Here is a 26225-nt window from a genome sequence, read left to right on the forward strand (position 1 = left end):
AAAGGATTTTTGTTTTTAATGTGAAGAGCACTTAAATGACTGAACTCACTATTGTGATGTACTTTTCTAAGTGACAGAAAAGAAGACATTTGTATATTAGTTTGGCTAATATGACTCTTGCCACGGTTTAGAGGATGTTTGAGACACTTATAAATAAAACAGTAAGAGAGACAGTATTCCATTTTTCAGAAATATGCATGGCTAAAAAAAGTAGTTAATTTTGCTTAGGTTTGTAGAACTCTAAACCTGAGTAATTCAAGTTGAAATGAACAAAAGATGCTTCCTTACCTTTAGGTCTTTCCAACTGTCCAGGAGTTTGGTGGCCAAATCACTTATATCCACTGTTTTATCTGGCTGTTCTTGGCTCCTTTCACTCTCCACATCAGACACACCCTCCTCTTCATCTTGGGATGGTGTTTCTTCATTAATAGGTTCTTCTAGTTTTGTGCCGTTGCTCTCTTTGGGCTCTATTTCAGCGTCAGCTTCTGGTTCAGATGTAGGTAGCTTACTAGCTTCTATGTTGGTTTCACTATCAACTTTGCATTCAGGCAGCTGTTGTGGGAGTAGCTGTTGTGACTGCAATTCTTCCTCTTCCTCTACAGGGACATTTTCTAATTGATCAAGATCCTCTTTGCCATCCTTGCCTTCTAGCTCACTGGTTGCATCAGAGATTGCACTGTCCATGCTATTTTCACTTATAATTTTCAGTCTGCGAAACATTAGTTTCTTGGGAGTGTCTGTGTCAGCTTCTGTGCTCAGCTTGGTGGAAGGATCAGGTGTGTTGAGTGGTGTATGAGCACGCGATGTATTCTCACTAGAATACCCATCTCCTTCACTCAACGGAGGGACAGCAGTCTTAGTCTGAGACCAGCGTTGAATAATTGGAAGTACTTTGCTTTCCTCCAACATATTTTTAGTAGGAATGGGCAAGTGTTCCAAAGTCTTTATAATCTGATTAAACATAAAAAAAAATTACATCACTTTGTACAGTTGACTTTTTTTTTTTTTTTTGAGACAGAGTCTCACTCTGTCACCCAGGCTGGAATGCAATGGCATGATCTTGGCTCACTGCAACCTCTGCCTCCTGGGTTCAAGCAATTCTCCTGTCTCAGCCTCCCAAGTAGCTGGGAGTACAGGCGCTAGCTGCCACGCCTGGCTAATCTTTTGTATTTTTAGTAGAGACAGGGTTTCACCATGTTGGCCAGGCTGGTCTCAAACTCCTGACCTCAAGTGATCCACCCACCTCGGCCTCCCAAAATGCTGGGATTACCAGCATGAGCCACCACACCTGGCTACAGTTGATTTTGTTTTTTTTTTGAGATGGAGTTTCGCTCTTGTTGCCCAGGCTGGAGTGCAATGATGTGATCTTGGTCACTGCAATCTCTGGCTCCCTGGTTTAAGCGATTCTCCTGCCTCAGCCTCCCGAGGAGCTGGGATTACAGGGATGCACCACCATGCACAGCTTTTTTTTTTTTTTTTAGTAGAGATGGGGTTTCTCCATGTTGGTCAGGCTGGTCTTGAACTCCTGACCTTAGGTGATCCACCTGCCTCAGCCTCCCAAACTGCTGGGATTACAGGCATTGAGCCACAGCGCCTGGCCTACAGTTGACTTTTTCAATTTCTGGATGGGACTCAGATTATTTCTGCAAGAGTAGTGCAGTTTTGCTACTGCTTTATTAAGAACTACATCTCTGTAAACACAAGCATATTTAAAAATCATAATATTGTTTTCCTTAAGAAAGAAAAACTTTTAATAAGACTGATCAGCAAGAATCACAACATCAAATAGGACTGATTAATATTCTCTACCAGTAGTTCCTAAACCTGGGTAGCTTTTTAAACATATACACTACTGGACCAATCCTGGGTATCTTTTCTTAAAAAGTTTACCAAGTGTCTGTGATATACACTTAGCAGCTATGTAACAACATATTTAAATGATGTCTGTCATACACACAAAAATGCAGACATCTCTTCAGCTTTTGATAAACAGCTGTCTAGCAAAGAGAGATCCCCTCCTCATTCTTAGACAACCTCCCCCATTTTGAAATCCAAGAATTTTTTCTGAAGTATTCCTCAATGTAGTTCCACAGAAACCCCAAGGCTTCCTCAATTTCCTCAAGCCAAATCTCCTGGGAGAAGGACAGAGGCAAGAACAAGTACTTATCTGCCCATTCCTTTTTGTTTGTTTTTAAAAGTGTTTTATTAAATAAAAGACTCTGGGATTATATTACAAATTAGAAAGTTAGAAAATTTTATTAATTTCATAGAAAGGTAAAGACATCGTAACTCCACTAATAATGCTGCCAATGAACCTTTACTTAGATCTTTTAAAACACTTATTTAAAAGATTCCTCAAAATGTTCATACTCTTGTTATGCAGAATTCAGATCTTTACCAATTCTTTAGACCCCACAGTTCAAATTTTATATGACTTCCCATCTTTTTAAAACTCTGGTTTTAACAACAAACTGGATCTTTCACTTAACTATGTTGTTGTTATTATATCTTGCTCTTGTAGTTCCCTGCTATGTAGTACCAACTTTAAAAAGATACTATAGGAAAACCATGGGACAAACTACTAACAAGGTGTATGTACGGTTAGATACGTTAAAGGAATGATACTGAGATGAAAAAATTATTTGATTATTTAATACCAATGATACAGTGCTAAATTCATAATTACTGATATTATCACATATCCACAACCGAGGCAATCAATATAACAGTTTTAAGAAACAAGCAAGCTAAATGTGAACTGACCTCTTCCTGAAGCTTCTGGTTACTTTCCCGGCCGTCACCTAGCTCTGCCATCCAGATCCACAACAAAGACAGCCCATGACGTTCCAGAAAGGACTTCAGGCAGGACTGTGAGTGTGTGTTCTTTCATGGGGGAAGGGAGACACGATGCAGAGCATTGGGAGGCAATATCAGAATATTACAAAGAGCCCGAGGAGAGTTCATGTATACGTTACACATTATAGGGTTCACTTACATTCACAAAAAAAACCTAGAAACTCTGTTTTCATTAGCCTAAATAGAACTCTACAACAAATGCTTTAAACAGATTATAATCTTCTCTGATACACAAAATACAGCCAGTCAACTGGGATTTTACTAACGTAGAAAATTATATGAATATTAATAGGTCATTTATAATGAAAATTCTGAAGAACTAAGAAAAAATTGCATCTAACTTTTTAAATAAAGCTAAAACCATAAAAATTAGTCCTTAAATAATTCTTTCTTCTCTCCCTTTCAGATGATTGTTGAAAAGACCTCTTTTTCCTGTTAGTTTTTTTTTTTTAATCATCATGGTTTTTTTACACTGTGGCTTACAACTACAATCTCAGCACTTTCGAAGGTGGAAGAGGGAGGGACTGGTTGAGGCCAGGAGTTCAAAACCAGCCTGGGCAAAATAGCAAGACCCTTATCTCTACAAAAATATAAATATAAAAATTAGCTGGATGTGGTGGTGTGTGCCTGTAGTCCTAGATACTCAGGCAACTGAGGCAGGAGGATCACTTGAGCCCAGGAGTTCCAAGGCTGCAGTAAGCTATGATTGCACAACTGCGTTCCAGCCTGGGCAACAAAGCAAGACCCTAAAAAAAAAAAAAAATCATTTTGTGTTATCTAACATCTTGTGGCATACTTAATAAACTGGTGTAAAAAAGGGTACCGTTAAAATTTTGTGCTTGGAGATCACGTAGTACAAATGGCTTTGGGATGCTAGTAACTGGAGGGTAAAAGGCTATGGCAAGTGTGATGAATTATTACAAAAAAAAAAAAAAAGCCACCACATTCTTTGAATATAGACAGAAAGCAAACCAGGTCTAATAATGCCATGGTCCCCAACCTTTCTGGCACCAGGAACCAGTTTCAGGGAAGATAATTTTTCAACAAACTGGGTGGGGGATGGATTCAGGATGAAACTGTTCCACCTCAAATCATCAGGCATTAGATTCTCATAAGGAGTGTACAACCTAGATCTCTCGCATGTGCAGTTCACAATAGGGTTCGTGCTCCTATGAGAATCGAATGCCGCTGCTACTCTGACAGCAGGTGGAGCTCAGGCAGTAATGCTCACTCACCTCCTCCTGTGTGGCCCCGTTCCTAATCAGCCCATGGCCTGGGGATTGGGGATCCCTGTACTAATAGATTAAATGATACTGAACTCTTTAGCCATTTTAAATAATATGGTACAAGCTTTGAAAGTCATACACAACTCACATATCCATTTAAAAAATAAAACTGGCCGGCCATGGTGGCTCACGCCTGTAATCCCAGCATTCTGGGAGGCTGAGACGGGTGGATCATCTGAGGTCAGGATTTCCACACCAGCCTGGCCAACATGGTGAAACCCCATCTCTAATAAGAAAATACAAAAATCAGCTGGGCGTGGTGGCTGGCGCCTGTAATCCCAGCTACTCAGGACGCTGAGGCAGAATTGCTTGCACCCAGGACACAGAAGTTACAGTGAACCGAGACTGCACCACTGCACTCCAGCCTGGATGACAGAACAAGACCCCATCTAAACAAACAAACAAACAAACAAACAAACAAATAAATAAATAAATAAAATAAGACTAACTCTTATCAGAATTATTCCTTCTTCATTCATCTTCATTCATTCATTCCCACCACAAAACCAGAAATAAAAAACAAACATTAAAGTGTTCACCTGTATGAGTTCCAGACAGGTAAGTTTCTGCTCCAAAGTTTCAATTCTAACCATTAGCCGGGATAAGCTGAGCACCTGGTTTTTATCAGAGAGACCCTCACCATTTTCCATCAGAGCTTCTAGCTCTCCATCCACCTACCACAGCAAATAAAAATACCTTTTTATAAAACAACAACAACAAAAAAAAAAACCAAAAACCCAAAAAGTTGCTCAACCTTATCAATTATCAGGAAAACACAAATGAAGACCAAACTGGGAAAGTACTAGACTGGGGGAAAAAGTTAAGAAGGCTGATAATAACAAGTCTACTGTTGATGAAAGTATAAAGTGGTATAATACATTTGAAATGCATTTCATTCACTCATCAAATACGTAGCAAGAACTTATATGAGTCAAGTATAATTCTAGGTGGAGATCTGCAATGAGCCAAAACAGAAAAACCTGCCCTTATGGGAGACCATGAACAAATTACATTAAACCAAAAGGACTTCAGAGATCCTTTATGGTTCATAAATATGATGAATGGGTTTTCACGCTGCTGTGTGAGATATATCTCCTTCAAACTTATATAATTTATATGTTATAATATATAATGACCTTTTTATGATGTCAGCATATGAATGACCCAGCTGATAGGGGCCGGGTGCTTCAGAAAAAAATAAAGCATTAGCCTGAAAAATAAAATAGTTGTATCCCCATGCACAGAAATTCTACTTATCAGAATAAACTGTAGAGAAATTCTGCACATGTGTACCTGGAGATTCATAAGAATGTTCATTGAAGCAATATTTATAATAGCAAAAAATTGCCAACAACCCAAATATCTGTACAAGTTGGATAAACGGCCATGTTCACTCAATGAAATATAATACTACAGTGAAAGGAATCAAGTACAGCCAAATGCAACAACATCCATCAATCTTAAAAATATGTCATTAAGAAAAAGCAAGTTCCAAAGAATTACATGCTATATGAATCCATTTTTATGCACCTCAAAGCTGAACTTTTTAGTGATACATATGTGAAAAACTGCTTTTAAACAGGCAAGGATGACCGGGCATGGTGGCTCACACTTGTAATCTCAGCACTTTGAAAGGCTGAGGCAGGAAGATGACTTGAGCTCAGGAGTTTAAGACCAGCCTGGGCAACACAGCCAGACTTCATCTCTACTAAAAATCAAAAAAATTAGCCAGGTGTGGTAGCATGTGTCTATAGTCTCAGCTATTCAGGAGGCTGAGGCAGAAGGATCACCTGAGCCTGGGAAATTGAGGCTACAGTGAGTTATAATTTTGCCACTGCACTCCAGCCTGGGTGACACAGTGAAATCCTGTCTCAAAAAAAGGCAAGGAAGTAAGACCCAAAATGTACAACAGTGGTAACCTCTAGGTAGGGAGAAGGAAGCAGAGAAGCACTAACAAGGATTTTATAATTATGCTTTGTAACATATATATTCTTTAAGTATTTTAAATATTAAATGTAAATAACGGGGGGTGGGAATCAACCTACCAAAGGTTATTTCCAGCCCTGCATTATGGCAGTTACAGGACATAAAGATTCTTTCAAAGAATTTATTATGGGTGAGATTAAATTAATTCATATGAAACCAAACAAGGAAGCATTAACTGCAAATGTTACATAGAACTAAGAGGCCTACATAAGGGAGTAATTAGAATGAGTCACTGAAATAAGATTAGAAATAGGTAAGATAAAGACAAGAGGAAAGGGTAAGCAAAGTAGTGGGGAAAAGTGTGAACAAAGGAAAATAAGAAATCATGACAGTGCTTAGGTCAACAAAGCTCAAACAGGTAAGGCATGGTGACGGACTGAGAAAAACCATACCAAATAAAAGACTGGGCCAGATGCAGTGGCTCATGTCTACAATCCCAGAACTCTGAAAGGCCAAGACAGGCGGATCACCTGAGGTCAGGAGTTCAAGACGAGCCTGGCCAACATGGTGAAACCCTGTCTCTAATAAAAATACAAAAATTAGCCGGGCATCGTGGCGGGAGCCTGTAGTACCAGCTATCGGGAGGCTGAGGCAGGAGAATAGCTTGAACCCACGAGGTGGAGGTTGCAGTGAACCAAGATTGTGCCACTGTACTCTAGCCTGAGCGACAGAGTGAGACTCCTTCTCAAAAACAAACAAACAAACAAACAAATAAAAGACTGGTGTTAGATTAGAAGATCTCAATTTAACATAAAATAACTTGAATTTGATAAAACCTGAACAGAATCCTGAACAAGGGAATATATATGATCAAAATGGATTATTATTTTTTTATTTTTTATTTTTTTGAGATGGAGTTTCGCTCTGTCGCCCAGACTGGAGTGCAGTGGCGCGGATCTCAGCTCACCGCAACCTCCACCTCCCAGGTTCAAGTGATTCTCCTGCCTCAGCCTCCTGACTAGCTGGGACTACAGGCCCGTGCCACCATATCCAGCTAATTTTTTGTATTTTTAGTAGAGACAGGGTTTCACCATGTTAGCCAGGATGGTCTCGATCTCCTGATCTTGTGATCTGCCCGCCTCAGCCTCCCAAAGTGCTAGGATTATAGCCGTGAGCCACTGCGCCCAGCCCAAAGTGGAACTTGATAATAATTTGTGCGGCAATAACAGAATAAAATTCAGATAAGCTAGAGACTAAGGAGAAGACAGGTAACATTACAACTTAGCAGGAAATGATGAAAGTCTAGAATGAAATGATTCAGAGAAAAGCAAGCTAAAAGGAAAGAATCTTAAGAAAATTTTCTATTACTTTTTTCTTTTACTTAACTAGCTATTTATCCCTTAATATAATTTCAGGCAAGGCACTGAACATTTTTATTTCATATTGTACCCAAAAATTCACATTCTGGTAAAGAACAAGAATAAATGAGAAAAAATAAAGTGCTGCCTGAGAGAGGTTGTAGAAACTCAAACCCATTTTTCTTTCTAAAATGTACATTTAAGGCTCATTCTTTTTCATTTCCAATACCACTTAAGTTTTTGAGTAAATACATGAACAGAAAAACCAATTTAAAGTTGTCTTAATCCAAGAAAGACAATTTCATTAAAGATATCTTTTCCTTGCATATCCTAAATGTAAGCCTTCCTGTGTCCCAAATTCTACGGTATTAGATGAGTTCAAGGGCTTTAAAATTCTACTTTCCCCCTCAACTGTAACAGCCAGAATACTGCTTTTGACAGATTTTTGAGACGAAAATATTCACAGGGCTAAAAAATGAGATATTTTCAGCCAGACACAGTGGCTCACACCTGTAATCCCAGCACTTGAGAGGCCAAGGCGGACAGATCACCTGAGGCCAGGAGTTCGGGACCAGCCTGGCAAACATGGTAAAACCCCATTTCTACTAAAAATACAAAAATTAGGCCAGGCACGGTGGCTCACGCCTGTAATCCCAGCACTTTGGGAGGCCAAGGTGGGTGGATCACCTAAGGTCAGGAGTTCAAGACCAGCCTGGCCAACACGGTGAAACCCAGTCTCTACTAAAAATACAAAAATTAGCCGGGCATGATGGCAGGTGCCTAAAATCACAGCTACTCAGGAGGCTGTGGCAGGAGAATCACTTCAGCGCGGGAGGCGGAGGTTACAGTGAGCCAAGATCGTGCCACTGTACTCTAGCCTGGGCGACAGAGCAAGACTCTGTCTCAAAAATAAATAAATAAATAAAATAAAATAAAAATTAGCCAGGTGTGGTGATGCACATCTGTAATCCCAGCTACTCTGATGGCTGAGGCAGGAGAATCACTTGAACTTGGGAGGCGGAGGTTGCAATGAGCTAAGATCATGCCACAGCACTCCAGCCTGGGTGACAGAGCAAAATACTCTCTTAAAAACAAACAAAAAAAAAGAGGTATTTTCTTTTTAAAATTAGGCATGTTATGACTGTTTAAAAACTCTAAATTATGTTATTTACATTCATTCAATAACATTTATTGAATAGATATTGTGTAAGGCATTTCCAGGATATAAAGAAAATCACGTTCTAACTAAAGAAAAATAAACCGTAAAAATGCAGAAACTGCAGTATAAATTAAGTTTTGCAAACAAAATAAAGATGAATAACCCTTGAACATTCCTCAGCGGTTATACTGTAACACACATACACATAAATGCATGCCAATTCCAGTGGTGATAATACAGCTTCCCTAATTTTGGGTGCTCAAGCATAGCAATCAATTGTGCAATAACTTTTAGGGTACCTGGGAGACAGAGGTGGGAAGACTGAGTTTGTCTCCCTTCCTTTCAATTAAATTACATTTATTAAAAGTCTTAGATTTTATGTATGGGTCAACATCATCCAAGAATATGAGGTAAGTAACTAAAAGTAAACATAAATGTAAGAATGATTAGGGTGTATTTTTAAATTATTGATAAACTGAAAATTTATATATATTAAATATATATTTATACATTATATATTTATCTGTAATTTATAGATAGTATATATTTACTATATATAGTGCATATATATGCACAATTCTATAGTACTTGAAAATGTATTAAGTACCTAATCATTGCAAGATACTATTTTTTAATACTTGAATATTTGTGGCACTAAGGGGTCTAAGTAGCATTTTAAATACTTCTTGATGGAATACAACATACAGTATGCAGAATACACATATAGACAGAAATATATAAAAACAATTAGTAAATAGGTTTAATAAACAGGTGAGCAACACCCATACAGCCACCATCCAGGTAAGTTTAAAAAACAGAATACTGCTAGCATTCCTGTAGTGCCCCATGTACCTACCCCTTCCTGGTTATAACAGCAACCCTTCCTATGCTTTGGAGATAACTTATCCTAACATTTTAAGAAATAGGTCTTCAATTTTCTTTATAGGTTTACTATCCATATGCAAATTCCTAAATATTAATTTTTTTTAAGTGATGGAAGCTAACTTTATTAGAAATGAAAGGTTCACTCTTGTCCTTGCTCCCTAATTACTTTAATTTTACTTTAAGTTCTGGGATACATGTGCAAGAACATGCAGGTTTGTTACATAGGTATATAAAATTTTGTCTATCTTTATGGAAATGAAATCATACTGGACAAAATATTTTGTCATGCTTCTTTCACTCAACCTTACATTTTAAGAGTTATCCATGTTACTGTATGCAGCCAGTTTATTTTCATGACTATTTCTTTTATAATTTATCCATCCTTTTTTTTTTTTTTTTTGAGACTGAGCTTCACTCTGTCGCCCAGGTAGGAGTGCAGTGGCATCATGTCAGCTCACTGCAACCTCCATCTCCTGGGTTCAAGCAATTCTCTTGCCTCAGCCTCCCAAGTAGCTGAGATTACAGGCACCCACCATTACACTTGGCTAATTTTTGTATTTTTAGTAGAGACAGGGTTTCATCATGTTGGCCAGGCTGGTCTCGAACTCCTGACCTCAGGTGATCTGCCCACCTCGGCCTCCCAAAGTGCTGGGATTATAGGCATGAGCCACTGCGCCTGGCCCATTCTTATGTTAATAAATATTTGAGTTATTTCTACTTTTTCTGATATCATAAGCAATGCTGTTGTGACTTCTGATATACATTATAGCTAGCCTCTCTGCTTATACACCCAGGAACTGCTGGCTCATATGGTATATGTTCTTTCACTTCAGTAAATAATGTCAAAGTATTTTCAAAAGTGGTTGTCCCTCATTTACACCCCTCACCAACAGTGTATGAGATCTGTTGTTCTTATGTACCATGGAACTTAATTTTTATCAATCTGGTGAGAGTGTAAATAACATCTAATAGTAATTTTAATTTGCACTCCCCAATTACTAATAAAGTTGAACAGCTTTCCACGTTTATTGGCTATTTCAATTAGTAAAGTGTCTCTGGAAGTTGTCTATTTTTCTTTTGTGCTGGCTGTTCTTTTCTTATTAATAGGATACTAGTTACACTCATTATGCATATTCTGGATAGTAGTATTCATTTGTTATGAGTTGAAAGTTAAGTATTTCTTCTCACTCAGGTGGGTTTTCACCCTCTTTATTACATAAATTATTATTGATTTGTTTCAAAAACTCAAACAATAGAGACTAAGGGAAGTTTCAGATTATTTTCTGTTCGTACCATAAACTACAAATAACATCAGGTCATAGTAGGGACATATTATACTTCCATCAAGTAAGTAAGTACTTAAGTACCCAGTGTGTGACATAGCCAAAGATAATCACCTGTCCTGGAAGAGCTTATAGTTTGGTTAAGGAAAGAAGCTGTATACAGATGCAATCATAAGAACAAGGATAAAAAATGTTTAGCAATCAAGGGGTAACATGAGGGATGTGGATTATAGTGCAATCATTATTAACATCTTCTTGTCAACAGTTTATACATGCAAAACTGCATTCTGAACTGCTAGCTATCTTGTCCTTTCCATGGCATCCTTTACCCAAGAAATTCCCAAGGCTCAACCTTGTGAGTTCAAACAGTTGAATTCTGTGATTCTGCTTCTGTGATTCTGCTCAACTGTAACTGACCAAAACTCAGAATCCAGGCATGCAAAAAAGAAATTTCTGCAGCAGATAATCCAAGTAAAATTAAAGTACAATTAACCTCTGCATTAGAGTCAAGGGCAAATGATCTTTCACATCATTCTAGGAACCTAGGTTCATTCTGGGATATTCCTCTATCTGGGCAAAGTTTCATATAAAACATCATTGTTCCGGAATAACTTCAAATTCATATCTGGAGCAACCGATGACTGTAGCCTATGGAATGACTGGATACAAGTTACATCTAATTCAGTCCAAAGGCACTAAGACCTATCCTGAAATTGGCACACTATTACCTGAATACAACCAACCAACCAATGACAGAAATATCTAGTCCTTAGTTCTTCAGAGTTATCCTTAAATCTTCTCAGAAAGGTAAAAAGCCACCTAATGGAGGTATGATACAGATATAATGCCACCTCTTAATCCATAGTAAGGTCACTTCTCATCAATAAATTAGTTTTAAAAATGTGTTTATTCTGTAAGTTTTGAAAATAGGAAACAGCCATTGGGAAGTTTTTCTTTTTGTTATTTTTTTAGATGGAGTTTTGCTCTGTAGCCTAGGCTGGAGTGCAGTGGTGCCATCTCGGCTCACTGCAAGCTCTGCCTCCTGGGTTCAAGCAATTCTCCTGCCTCAGCCTCCGGAGTAGCTGAGATTACAGGTACCCGCCACCACGCCCAGCAAATTTTTGTATTTTTAGTAGAGACAGGGTTTCACCATGTTGGCCAGGCTGGTCTTGAACTCCTAACCTCGTGATCTGCCTGCCTCAGCCTCCCAAAGGGCTGAGATTACAGGCGTGAGCCACCGTGCCTGGCCTGGAAAGTTTTTATGGAGATACTAGTTTAGGTCAACATGTTTAATAACTACTTTGTGGTTGCTCTGGTAAACCATGAATTATATGAAACAAGAGTTAACAACAAAAGCAATCTAATGGAGTTTAAAGAAAAATGTCCGGTAGTCAAGTGAAGAAAGCTAACAGACTAGGTATGACCCAGTGACTACACTTCCATAGATAAATCTTAAAGAAACATGTGCAAAAGAGACATGTGCAAAGATACTAACTTTGAAATTAATAGCAAAAATTGGAAACATAAGTATCCATCAGTAGGAAAATATGTCAATAAACTGTTACATGATGAAAAAAAAAAAGAAAAACTTTCAAATGACCATCATGCAGAAGTTGAGAAAAAAAAAGAAAAAAATTACAGCAATTAGAAATAAATGTTCATCTACATATATGAATACAGATCAAATTCAAAAATAAGAGTAAAAAATGCACACAAATACATCTATATTATCTCATTTCTTTTTCTTTTTTAATAGAGATGAGGTCTCACTATATTGCCTAGGATGGTCTTGCACTCCTGGGCTCAAGCTATCCTCCCGCCTTGGCCTCCCAAAGTGCTGGGATTATAAGCAAGAGCCACCACGCCCAGCTATATTTTACCATTTCTAAAAACTTTTAAAATGCCACACAAAACAATATGTTCTAAAATGCAGAAACATCTATTGTTATGGCCATAGTTGCCTCAAAGGTAGGAGGGGACTCCACTCTACAGTTTAACTGTAGTTTAACACAATGGTTAAGAGCAGAGACAAGATGCTGGATTGGAGCTTATTTCCACCACCTATTTGGGTGACACTATAATCTCTCTGTGCCTTAGTGTGTTCTTAACTGTAAAAAAGGAAAGATCATTACCTAATTTATGAGCTTATTGTGAGAATTAAATGAGCTAATACATCAAGTGCTTAGAAAAGTGCTTGGCATAAAGTTACACTATATATGCTATCTAAAAAGAGGGCTGAAGGCTGGGTGTGGTAGCTCATGCCTGTAATCCCAGCACTTTGGGAGGCCAAGGCGAGAGGATCACTTGAGCCCAGGAGTTTGAAGCTGCAGTGAGCTATGAATGCATCACTGAATTCCAGCCTAAGCAACAGAATGAGATTTTGCCTCAAAAAAAAAAAAAAAAAAAAAAAAAGGGGGGCTGGGCACTGTGGCTCATGCCTGTAATCCCAGCACTTTGGGAGGCCAAGGTGAGAGGATCACTTGAGCCAGGAGTTCAAGGCTGCAGTGAGCTGTGATCACTCTACTGTACTCTGGCCTGTGGAACAGTGCGAGACGTTGTCTCAAAAAAAAACAAAGCCAAACCATTTGAAAATATATACATTTTTTAAAAGAGAGAGAGAGAAAGAAAGAGCTAAAGAACACATGACATTCCAATGCATTTGTTCATGTTGGGTGGTGGAAATACAGGTGTTTGTTATATAAACTGTCCTTTTCTGCTTTTTTTAACGGACCTTTCCAATGCTTTTTTTAACTTTTTTTAACTGAATCTTCTTACAGAATTCAGATTCTTAATACTTAATTCCCTCAAATTAATTTGTGCTCAATTGATGTTACCTTTTAACCATTATACTCTCATCACCTCCCTCATGTCTTTTTCTATCTCCCCATCTAAACAGAAAAATTGCTGTCATCTATAGTTCTTATGAGTATTAAGTTCCTGAAAAGTCCAGGAATGAGCTAACTGCAAAAGAATCACAGGGGAATTTGCTGACTAACACCGGTAAACCCTCAGCCCTTCCACTAAGATTCACAGGTCTAGAGAGTAGCCCAAAAATGTGCATTTTTACTATGGATCCAGCCAGCTGGTTCTAAAGAAAGTGATCCAAGGATCACATTTTTGAAAAACAGTGCTCTAGCAAAGGGATCCTCAAAAAAGGGAGGAGAATATTTTTTTAAACACAAAGTCCTTTTTGCAATTGATAGTCCCTTTAGTAACAGGATATTCCCCACCAACAATCCCATCCCCATCCCAGGAGTAACTCAGGCAAGACAGGGTACAAAATGAGGCTATCAACTGCTGTTTCATTAAATAAAAAGAGCATCTGTGACTACTCCTGTTGGTCTTAGGTTACCTACTTCCTCTCAAAACTTTTCTCACACTCAAAAGAGGATTTTCAGAGATTTGAAGAACACTCAAAGTTTAGAGTACCAAACAAAGACAAACCAATAACAAGAGATTAGAAACGTACAGCAGACATAGTGAGCTATCAGGGAGAAAAGATATGTTTTACTTGTACTTAGGAGTTTTAAAGAATCTGAAAAACTATTAGTCCAGGTGTTTTCAATAATACTTTAATAGTTCTCAGTACCCAATTCCAATCTCTATGAATCTGAAATAAAAATAGCAATTGCATCTCTTTTCTGGTAACAACTCATCTGATCTTGGATTTCTCTGGTGGCAGTAGTATGACTTTATAACCTTCAATCAGAAAAGCCACCTCGCTTTTTAAATTTTTTATTGTGAAAGTTGAAAGAAAAATGCAAACTTACTGAATCCTTCTTACGAGATCGTTCCTTCTTCATTTTCCCTCCTGCTGCTCTGATGCTGACTCTGTTTTCTCCTCCCAGGTAACCCCGGCAATTGGCTGATCCGCAGAAACATTTCTGGGCTTCTTTTCTGTTCAAAGAGCATAGGAAAGAAGTCAGCTATGTGGAAGTAAACCATACAAAACTGTTGGCAATACACACAAAAGTCATACCAGTCTAAACAAAATCAAACAAACAAAAACCATAACTTGAAGAGATTCCAACAAGTCTGCTATTACTAATAGAAATGTCTGAAAACTGCTCTTTAAAAATATTCATTATTTTTCCAATCATCTTTCTTTGGGAGACAAAACTAGCCAAGAAATAAACAATTCTTCCATTTTATGAGAATACCTAGTAATATGAAAATAAGAGATCATATACATGTTTGGATTAAGAATAAAATTGCTTAAATAGTTCAGAGAACTATTACTTATATGTAAATGTTTAATTGGCACATAGAACAAACAAACATGCATTAGTATAAGCAGACATAAAATGATTAATACAGGATACTTAAAAGGAAACATTTGATTATTAAAAGACTGGCTGGGCACAGTGGCTCACGACTGTAATGTCAGCACTTTGGGAGGCCAGGAGTTTGAGACCAGCCTGGCCAACATGGTGAAACCCCATTTCTATTAAAAATACAAAAATTAGCTGGGCATGGTGGCACACACCTGTAATCCCAGCTACTCAAGAGGCTGAGGCATGAGAATTGTTTGAATCCAGGAGGCAGAGGTTGCAGTGAGCCGAGATTGCACCACCGCACTCCAGCCTGGGTGACAGAGTAAGACTCTGTCTCAAAAAAATAATAATAATAATAATTGAGTATTCTAATAGTAAACTGGTGGACTTAGGATATGATAGTGGCAATTAGAGGGATAAAAATAAATTGTTCAATAAGTAGAGCAGGAATTCCCAAACAGCACTTGATTTCCACTTTTCTTTCCCTCAGAGAGGACAATACAAGCACAGAGGCAAAAAAATGGAGCCCGACACAGAACCTGGTCTGCATTCATGCCCTGAATATCTGACAAGAGAAGCAGACAGAATCGGAAACAACCATCTGGCATTTGTCCTAGATTATAATCAGATCATCAGTTTCAGAGTTCACTATGTTTAAGACATGAAGCATGTATGAAACAATGTGAAGGAGTATGTAAAAGACCTTCATTGCCAGAAGTCTGGTAACTGTCACCAGACTGAACAGAGTACAGGAATTAAAACCTCATCATATGGTAGCATTAAAAGAATTAAAATATTCAGGAAACTCTGCAGCTGTGTGCTTTTCTAGCATAAACACCAAAAGCTACTAATTGATATAGGTATAATCTGAAAAAAATAAAATAAAAACTTTTAGGGTTTTGTATCTTACTTAAATTTTCCAATATTTTAATTGTACTGGTTTCTTAATAATCAGAAAGTATCTTGCATAGGTCACTGGTCCTAAAGACCCAAAGAAGATAGACTGTTTCACGGGTAATGTTGTGTTCTTTCATTATGAGGCACACATTAGTTGTCTTTTTCTGATATTAGCGGCCACTAATGACCACTGTTTAGGACCCATACCTTACTAAGTGTTGCAAAATGGTGATATTTTTACTACTTAATTTAGTTTTATCTTTTTGTTTTCTGAGACAGGGTCTTGTGCTATGGCCCAGGCTGGACTGTAGTAGCAAGGTCATGCCTCCCTGCAGCCTCAATGTCCTAGGCTCAAGTGATCCTCCCACCTCACCCTCCTGAGTAGCTGGGACTATAAGCATGCACCACTCACCTACTACTACATTTATTAACTGGAAGACTTGTACAAAGAAAAACTTCTTCTCATCAACTATTTGGTTTAACCTAAAGCAGAAGTCACTTGAGAAAGGCAGAATAAATGTTTAAATGCTTAATTTTTTTCCTTTTTTATTTTTAAACTAGTCTTCAAAGTCATGAATTGGTTGACTAATATACCTTTTTTTTTTTTTGCTTTTTTGTTTTTGTTTTGTTTTTTTCGAGACAGAGTCTTTCTCTGTGCCCAGGCTGGAGTGCAGTAGCACGATCTCAAGTGATTCTCCTGCCTCAGCCTCCGGAGTAGCTAGGATTACAGGCATGTGCCACCCCACCTGGCTATTTTTTGTATTCTTAGTAGAGACGGGGTTTCACCATGTGACCAGGCTGATCTCGAACTCTTGACCTCGTGATCTGCCCACCTTGGCCTCTCAAAGTGCTGAGATTACAGGCATGAGCCACCGCACCCAGCCTCCCAGGCGTAGTTTTTTGTTCGTTTGCTTTTTATTTTTTTTAGATGGAGTCCCTCTGTCACCCAGGCTGGAGTGCAACAGCACGATTTCAGCTCACTGCAACCTCCGCCTCCCAGGTTCAAGCTATTCTCCTGCCTCAGCCTCCAGAGTAGCTGGGATTACAGGCGTGCGCCACCACGCCCAGCTAATTTTTATATTTTTAGTATGGACGGGGTTTCACCATGTTGGCCAGGCTCAAACTCCTGACCTCATGATCTGCCCGCCTCAGCCTCCCAAAATGCTGAGATTACAGGCGTGACCCACTGCAACCAGCCTGTAGTTTTATTTTTAAGTAGTCATTAGAACACAGGGATTTTACATAATGTGCTTCAAACCTCCTCAGTATCTTTATTAATGCTTCAGTGTTAATAAGAACTCTCACACTTTTTGCTTAGGCAGTCTTTGCTATTGCATCGGTTACTGTTTTTAGGAAACAGAACTAGGTAACCAGGCCGGGCGCAGTGGCTCAAGCCTGTAATCCCAGCACTTTGGGAGGCAGAGGCGGGCGGATCACAAGGTCAGGAGATCAAGACCATCCTGGCTAACACGGTGAAACCCTGTCTCTACTAAAAATACAAAAAATTAGCTGGGCGTGGTGGCGGGCGCCTGTAGTACCAGCTGCTCAGGAGGCTGAGGCAGGAGAACGGCATGAACCTGGGAGGCGGAGCTTGCAGTGAGCCAAGATCACGCCACTGCACTCTAGCCTGGGCGACAGAGCAAGAGTCCATCTCAAAAAAAAAAAAAAAAAAAAAAAAAAGAACTAGGTAACCAATTATATTTAAGAGTACAAAATGGTACAGATGAAATAGACTGGTTATGAGTTATGCTAACTGTTAATGCTGAATAACGGATACAGAGGAATTTATAATACTGTACTATTCTCTTCAGACACAAAAAGAGTTGGCATGTCTAAAGTTTTTCAGAATTACATAAGAAATATAATTATACAAGTAGACCATATGAAGTTGAGGAGAAAATTATACAGTTCCTGTACAACATCCCTTAAGGGTCAGAAGTGTCATACAGTAGAAAAACACACAAAACCAAAACAATATCTTATAGATAAGAGTTAAGAGTAAATATAACTTTTAAGTAATTTATATTAAAGTTTTATATCCTTATATCTGAACAGCCTATTTCCCCATCAGAAGCAGCAAAATTAGTAGAAACAATACTTACCCATATCTCTGGAACTGATAGTCAAACGTTAACTCTGAGCCTGAAGGAACCAGTTTGGTGGTAAAAAACCCAACCCTCAGTTGTCCGTTCACAGTCCACTGAGATGATGTTTGAAAACAAAAGAAATTAGTAACTTATTAGTGTGTGTGTGTGTGTGTGTGTGTGTGTGTGTGTGTGCGCATATATAAAGATCATCATCATCTGCCTTAATTATGCAAGTGGGTCTTTAGGCAATGAAGGTTTTCCCAAATAGCACATGGAGACTTTTTTCTTTAAAAGAACTAAAATATTTAAGTGTAACTCTCATTTAATGGACTACCAGATTGCATATATCTCTAATTCGTCTCTAATAAAAGTAACTGCTAAAAAAAAGAAAAAAAAGTAACTGCTATTTTAATTTATCTTAACATTTCCATACAGTAAAGATTCACTTGTACTAAAAATTGGCAAACAGAGGATGCTTGTGTCACTGAGTATCAAAGGCAAGTCTATATTAACATATGTTAAAAGTAACCATGTTGTAAGATAAGATGAGATATAGAAACTAGGAAACACTGATCCCAAAAGTTTAATTCCATGAAGTGGTGGTCATCTGGCTGAGTATAGTGAAAGGGACATCAGAACAGATGCATAAGACTCAAGAATTAAAATGGGGGCAGATACATGTTAGGCAGATCTTTTAGTTCCAAAACATGTAAGCAAGTCAAGGACTGAGGAGCTCTGATCCAGACAATTTGCACATGTTACTAATGAAAACTCTGGACTTGCAGAGATTAAGGGACACTGTACAGTGAGAGTCTCACAGCTAGACATGTGGCCACCAGCTCTGGCAGAACTATAACCAAAACCTAGGTTGAATGATTCCACAGTAGGTTCTCCTTTTTGTTATACAACTTGGCTCTTGGAAGAGCCATGCATAAAATCTATTAGTGTATAGTTCAAAGGGCAAAAAATATCCAGACTCAAAAGTGCTATTTCAACATGAGAGGAAATCAATGATATACATTTGCAGAGCGGGTTCATAGCTTTAACCTTAAAAAGTTACAATCCCAGCTGGGTGCGGAGGCTCACGCCTATAATCTTAGCACTTTGGGAGGCTGACGGGGGTGGATCGCTTGAGGCCAGGAGTTCGAGACCAGCCTGGCCAACATGGCAAAACCCCGTCTCTACTAAAAATACTAAAAAAATTAGCTGGACGTGATGGCACGCACGTGTAATCCCAGCTACTTGGGAGGCTGAGGCAGGAGAATCGCATGAATCCAGGAGGCGGAGGTTGCAGTGAGCCGAGATCATGTCACTGCGCTCCAGCCTGGGCAAAAAAAAAAAAAAAAAAAAGATACAATCCCTCTCAATGTTAGTCCTTCAGTCCCTCATCAGTGTTATTAAAAGTCAAATGTTGCACCTAGATAAGACCTAATAAAGAATCCAAATACACACTGAACTTTCAAAATTAAAATTTAGTTTTGTATTTTGGCACCATTAAAATAATATACAAAATAATTATGGGCAAGGAAGGAGAGGTGACAACTAAATGCAATGTGAGTTCCTGGATTGGATCTTGGACCAGAAAAACAACAGCTGTCAAAATTGGAATACGGTCTTCATATTACTTAATAGCATTCTCTGGATCTGATCCTTTTATTATGGTTATATATGATGTTAACATGGGGAAAGCTAGGTGAAGACTGATATATGGGTGTAGTCAATACTATTTTTCTAACATTCCTATAAATCTAAACCTATTTCCAAATAAAATCTTAAATAATAAAGTAGAATAGGAAAAAGGGACTAAAAAATTCATGAGTACCTTAGATATGGGATCTAAAATTAATGGTCAGAACAGCAATCGTGAACAAATACCTCAAACTCTAAATCCACCTCAACTTACTTTTTGGGTTTCACAATTTGGTTCACAGCTGTGATTCATGAAACGAGAGCAATTTCCTTTTTGAGTGGCATCTATTATCTGGGAGAAGAGGATCATTTAAGAATTAAAAAATAATACCTTAAATATTCATGCAATTACCTGCAAAACTACATACATCTCTTATGCATCAATTAAAAAAAAGATTGTGCTGCGAAACCTAACCAGTTAAGGTAGGGCAGTGAGGCCTCCTGACTACCAGCTTCAAAGTTTTTCCACTGTAAACAATGGCTCAGTTTCCATTATTTCTAACTGAAGACAGATGACACTGTGAATTAAATTAACCCAATCAAAAAAAATTTACACATTTTACAAAGGAAAAGCATTAAGACAAATGTAAGATACATGCAATGCACACGCACGCACACACACACACACTCCCTTATCCCCACTTTGCCCTTGCTTCAGAGAACTGTCACACTGCTTCCCACTTCAAAGCAACAAATACCTAACTGATGCTTTTGGAAGATCTGCTAATTATTAACTTTTGCCCATAGGCAAAATTATCTTTATCAGTGTCTCTCCCATTTATCCTTAGCCATTTCTTATATTCTATTACATCCTAATCTCACTGCATGGTATAATACTTCACTTTAAAGTGTGGGCTATGTCACAATGCCATAGGTCTCAACCTTGAGTGTGTATCCAAATCCCATGGAGAGTTTGTTAAAACTTGCTGAACCCATCCCTAGGGTTAAACTAAACAGCTCTGGGGTTAGGTCCCTAGAATTTACATTTCCACACTGAATACAGAGGCAGATATATGAGAATTGAACTGAATTTTATTAAGCCAGACATTAAAGAGATTTATAAAAATGTAAAGCGATGCAACTCTTTTCACTAAAAAAAAAAAAAAAATTTAAATAATCATTTTCCAAGGCCAGGCACAGTGGTTTATGTCTGTAATCCCAGTGCTTTGGGAAGTTGAGGCAGGAGGATTGCTTCAGGTCAGAAGTGAGACCAGCCTGGGCAACACAGCAAGACCCTGTCTCTACAAAAAATTTAAAAATAAGCCAGGCATGGTGGCATGTGCCTGTAGTTCCAGCACCTCAGGAGACTGAGGTGGGAGGACTGCTTGAGCCCAGCAGTTCAAGGCTGCTGTAAGCTATCATCATGCCACTGCACCCCAGGCTGGGCAACAGAGCAAGACCCTGACTCAAAAAAAAAAAAGTTATTTTTCATAATACCATGTTATTTTTATCAATAAGTAATGGGCTTACTATTGTTACAGTTAAGTCCTCACTTAAAGTCATCAACAGGTTCTTTGAAACTGCAACTTACAAAAGCAAAACAACATACAAGGAAACCAATTTTACCATAGGCTAACTGATACTAAACAATAGTTAAGTTCCTATGGCAGATTTCTGGCCACAAAACATCAACAAACTTCTAAATAAAGACCAAGATGGGCTGGGTGTAGTGGTTCATGCCTGTAATCCCAACGCTCTGGGAGGCCAATCTGGGCCAACACTCAAGTGATTCTCTGTTTTAGCCTTCGGTCTGAGCCCTTGGAGCAGCTGTAACTAGATGCATGCAAAACCATGCCCGGTTAATTTTTTTTTGTTTTTGTAGAGATGAGGTCTCACTATGTTGCCCAGGCTGGCCTCCTTTGGCTTCAAATGATTCTCCCACTTGGCCCTAATGTGGTTTTAAACAGACATTCTAAATTTCTCAGTTGTGATTTTTAATATGATTAAGTATAAGTAATTATAACCCACATAACCTATATAAGCAAAAGCACTTTGGGGCCAGGCACGGTGGCTCACACCTATAATACCAGTACTTTGGGAGGCTGAGGCACATGGATTGCTTGAGGCCAGGAGTTCAAGACCAGCCTGGCCAACATGGCAAAACCCCGTCTCTACTAAAAATACAAAAATTAGCTGGGCATGATGGTGTGTGCCTGTAGTCCCAGCTACTCAGAAGACTGAGGCACAAGAATCGCTTGAACCCGGGAGGCAGAGGTTGCAATGAGCCAAGATGGCACCACTGCACTCCAGCCCAGGTAATATAGCAAGACACTATCTCTAAAAAAAAAAAAAAAAAGGCACTCTGGGGGTCATCAATAATTTCTAAGAGTTGTAATCTAAAACACACTACGTTTATCTTTACATATATATATGTAAATTCCTCTCTCTTCCATGTTTTTATTTTCTACCTTGTCATGCAACAGTAACTTCCACGCTTTTTGAAAACAAATAGACGCTATTTATACTGCTCTGCCCCTCATTTTTGTCGCTTAATATATTTTAGAAATCAGTCGGCAGGACACGGTGGCTCATGCCTGTAATCTCAATGCTTTGGTGAGGTCAGGAGATCGAGACCAGCCTGGCCAACGTGGTGAAACCCCGTCTCTACTAAAAATACAAAAATTAGCAAGGCGTGGTGGCGGGCGCCTGTAATCCCAGCTACTCAGGAAGCTGAGGCAGGAGAATCTCTTGAACCCAGGAGGCAGGGGTTGCAGTGAGCCGAGATCTTGCCACTGCACTCCAGCCTGGGCGATAGAGCGAGACTCCGTCTCCAAAAAAAAAAAAAAAAAAAAAATCAAATCAGTATCAATGGCTCCTTCAAACCTAACAGATCTGTTTCAAGGCAAACATATCCAAGCTGCTTACCTCATCATTCTTCAGGGCCATGAAATAGTAATGGATGTTTTTGTTTCGTGCATACTCCTTCACTCGAGCTTTAAACTCTTTATGATCGAGTACCTCTCCACAATATTCTAGGACAAAGGTGTTCCTGCAAACCAAAAGGAAAAAAATAGCACTTCCTACCTAGGAGCAGTAGGGAAAACATATATGCTCAGGCAAAAATAAGGAATTTAAATAAATACTGCAATGTGGATAAATTCAGTTATTACACAAAATAAATTTCAAACACATGTCAAGTATCTAGCTTCTAACCAAGGTTACTTTTCTCCTTCACAGTACTTTTCAAAGAATGTTGATTCTAAGATGCTTTTATAATTTATACCTACTACCAAAATATATATCCTTTAACTAGATACTAAATCATTCAAGTCTGGCTTACAATATCAAAAAAAGTTATTAACAGCTGGAAAACAGCTCTGAAGAAATCAAGAGACACTGAAAAGTTAGAGGATTTTTGCTCTAAAAAAAAAAAAAAAAAAAAAAAAAAAAAAAAAGGCAGCCGGGCGCAGAGGCTCATGCCTATAATCCCAGCACTTTGGGAGGTAGAGGCGGGTGGATCACCTGAGGTCACAAGTTCGAGACCAGCCTGACCAATATGGTGAAACCCCATCTCTACTAAAAATACAAAAATTAGCCAGGTGTGGTGGCATGCACCTGTAGTCCCAGCTACTTGGGAGGCTGAGACAGGAGAATTGCTTGAACCTGGGAGGCAGAAGTTGCAGTGAGCCGAGATCGCGCCACTGCACTCCAGCCTGGGCAAGAGAGTGAGACTCCGTCTCAAAAAAAAAAAAAAAGGAAAAAGAAAAAGAAGAAGGCAACTTAAATATAGCAGCCCTTCTGCTGTCTTTACTCTCAAAGGTCTCTAAAAATGTTAAAGATCAAATCTAATTCCCTTTATGTAATGACATTCTCTTTGACGTCTCTTTAGAATGTTATCAGTAATTGTTATTTATCTTCTTCTTTGGCATCTTTCAGTTACCCTTTATCTTTGAATGTTCTTTTCTTGATTATTTACCTATTTATTCTGAACTGAAGATATTAAATTATCAGTCTTTTCCCCTTCTCTTAATTCTCTAAAAGCTCATTCTAACCAATGACTTCAACTATTAGTTCTATGTAGACAAATGTTATACTATGTTTTACTCTGAAGTTCTGACATAAAATGGCCTGCCTGAAAGTCTTTTCTTATCCCCTCAAAATAAACATACCCTAATTCTAATGAAAGAAATTTTTTTAATGTAAATCTTTTGTATTTGTTTACAACATACTGGCATAATCAATGTACTTATTAAAGGAGTTAACTTCGCCAACTGAAAAAAATTAAATCCTTTTACTTTAAAAAATAAAGCAATTAAAAACAAATGAGAAAAGAACACATATATTAAAAAGCAGAGCTCAAAAACAGGATTGGAGAAGTTTATAGTGGATGTATATATATATTTATATAGTAGTCCATCACAAACACATTTAGGTCTCAATAATAAAAATCTGATTATTCATGGGTAAACCTAGAAAGTCAAATTATTACCTCTATAACCAATATTTGAAATGTCCTTTCTAACCCCAGAAGCTTATCATCTTGCAAATAATTTAAAATGATGACAAAATTTGAGGTCCTACAATGTTGGACTCTCCACTTCCAGGATTAGTGCCCTCCCTCAAGAAAAAGAAAAGTCACTTTGGGTGGCGGGGGGGGGTGGGGGGGGGGTGGCAGGATTGCTTTGGCCCAGGAGTTCAAGACCAGCCTGAAAAACACAGGAAGACCTCATCTTGACAAACAATAAAAAATTAAAAAATTAGCCGGCCATGGTATTATGTGCCTATAGTCCACTACACCAGTTGAAAGCCTGGGGCAGGAGAATTGCTTGAGCCCTGAGTTTGAATCTACAATGAGCTACAATCACATTACTGCACTCCAGGCTAGGTGACAGAGCAAGACCCCATTGCATTAAAAAAGAAAAAAAAGCTGGGCACAGTGGCTCAAGTCTGTAATTCCAGCACTTTGGGAGGCCGAGGTGGGTAGATCACTTAAGCCTGGGAGTTTCCGACCAGCTGGGCAACATGGTGAAATCCCGTCTCTACCAAAATAAATAAATTTTAAAAAATGTTTTAAAACATTTTTTAAAAACTTAAAAAAGAGAGAAAAAGAAAAATGACATCATGGACTGCCTTGTGAATTAAATGTGGTGACTACAAAACATATATTATCCAGGATCTGGAACTGCACACATAAAAAATATTTCCAATCCCTCTTCTGCCAAAAATCTATCTTCCCTAAACTTACTCATTTAAGGCTTGATTACCTGCTTTTGAAAGGTAGTATGAAAAATAAAAATAAAGCATATTGATGTCATCTGGCATCGATATTATGCCCATTTGACAAATAAGACAGAGTTTGGATAATGTAGGTGATCTATCCAACTTCATAAAGCTCAATTACAGCCTGGGATTCAAACTCCACCTAAATAACTATTTACCTCATTATATTATAAAGATGCTTTCTTGAATTTTACTAAAATATTCAATTCTAATGATATTACTCTCAAATCACCTTATTTAGAAAAAGTTCTTAAATATCAGAGCCTGACCAGCCAGTAAATCACTCAGAGTAGAGACCCCACATCAGGAAGTTGGAAGGATATACCAACACACATGGATCTAACAGTTTGAGCTTGAGGAAGCAGCTGAGAGAAGCATCTCAAAGTCCTCAGGAATTTGGGGAATGTAGGAAGAGTGGCTAGACCCTCCAGCTGCCTGACCTCCAAAAAACTAAATGAGGCCAGTGTAAAAGTCTATCATGCAGTCCTTAAAACTCTAAGATTTAGGTTTCTTAGAGAAGCTACGTGTCTCAATTAAAAACCAAAATAAAAACAAAAACAAAGCAGAAAACATCATATTGCCTGGCATGCAGTGACTAAATCCCATGAAGGCAAAGGCAATGAGAAGTGTGATTCTTATGATTCTTATTAATCTTTTTCTAAGCCTGAAATTTGCTCCTGGCTGAATAGGGTCACTTCATTGAACTCCTTCTCCTTAAAGCCTGTTCAGGGCAACAGGGCTCTACTATGGCAGGTGGGTGGGGACAGAAATTGTCACTGTCACTGCAAAGCTATGGAAGGTTTAGGGGTTAAGGGTAACGTCTGCAACTCCCTTTAAGCTTCATCAAAAAAAGACTGATAGATAAAAAAGAGACGGGCAGACAGAGAATGTAAAATAAAGCAAACAGAACAAAATGTTAATAACTATAAAACCTAAGTGGTGCTTACATGGACACTAACTGTTCAACTCTTTCAACTTTTCTGTAAGTTTGAAACTTTTTATTAATAAAACGGGCCAGGGGTGGTGGCTCACGCCTGTAATACCAGAACTTTGGAAAGCCAAGGTGAGAGGATCACTGGAGCTTAGGAGTTCGAGACCAACCTGGGCAACACGGCAAAACCCTGTCTCTACTAAAAATACAAAAAAATTAGCAGAGTATGGTAGTGTACACCTGTAGTCCCAGCTACTGAGGAGGCTAAGGTTGGGGGATCACCTGAGCCCAGGAGGTTGAGGCAGCAGTAAGCTGTGATCGCGCCACTGCATTCAAGCCTGGGCAACACAGTGAGACCCTGTGTCGGAAAACAA

General features: G+C 38.5%; 1 protein-coding gene and 1 pseudogene across 12 annotated transcripts in view, besides 3 other annotated features; one reads left to right on the forward strand and one right to left on the reverse strand.

Moving 5' to 3' along the window:
• SETD2 (SET domain containing 2, histone lysine methyltransferase) overlaps positions 1-26225 on the reverse strand; it is a 148405-nt gene that overhangs the window by 66996 nt on the left and 55184 nt on the right. For 8 of the 12 annotated variants that reach the window (NR_146158.3, XR_007095670.1, XR_002959514.2 and 5 more), the window contains 7 exons: positions 22566-22689; positions 19915-19992; positions 18027-18124; positions 14524-14650; positions 4682-4816; positions 2764-2883; positions 289-951 (listed from right to left, as the gene is read on the reverse strand). Coding sequence is in view for 6 of the 12 variants with exons in the window: in XM_047448045.1 (XP_047304001.1) it covers positions 289-951; positions 2764-2883; positions 4682-4816; positions 14524-14650; positions 18027-18124; positions 19915-19992; positions 22566-22689 (1345 nt within the window). In the remaining 6 variants the exon portion in view is untranslated. Of the gene's footprint in view, positions 1-288; positions 952-2763; positions 2884-4681; positions 4817-14523; positions 14651-18026; positions 18125-19914; positions 19993-22565; positions 22690-26225 lie in introns of those variants that run through there. The other 4 variants (XR_007095672.1, XM_024453487.2, XM_024453488.2 and 1 more) reach the window with 3 other exon arrangements.
• Positions 321-822: an enhancer, noted in NCBI's record as "NANOG hESC enhancer chr3:47125242-47125743 (GRCh37/hg19 assembly coordinates)". NCBI's record gives its function as "activates a minimal SCP1, AML or CMV promoter by ChIP-STARR-seq in naive H9 embryonic stem cells {active_cell/tissue: H9 hESC(naive)}" and the evidence as "EXISTENCE:reporter gene assay evidence [ECO:0000049][PMID:30033119]".
• Positions 321-846: a biological region, named in NCBI's record as "NANOG hESC enhancer GRCh37_chr3:47125242-47125743".
• Positions 707-846: an enhancer, noted in NCBI's record as "active region_19808". NCBI's record gives its function as "activates an Ori minimal core promoter by ATAC-STARR-seq in GM12878 lymphoblastoid cells {active_cell/tissue: GM12878}" and the evidence as "EXISTENCE:reporter gene assay evidence [ECO:0000049][PMID:35858748]".
• Positions 5177-5316, forward strand: LOC124906375 (uncharacterized; annotated as a pseudogene).

This window comes from Homo sapiens, chromosome 3 (assembly GCF_000001405.40).
Source record: "Homo sapiens chromosome 3, GRCh38.p14 Primary Assembly".
Classification (NCBI taxonomy): Eukaryota; Metazoa; Chordata; class Mammalia; order Primates; family Hominidae; genus Homo; species Homo sapiens.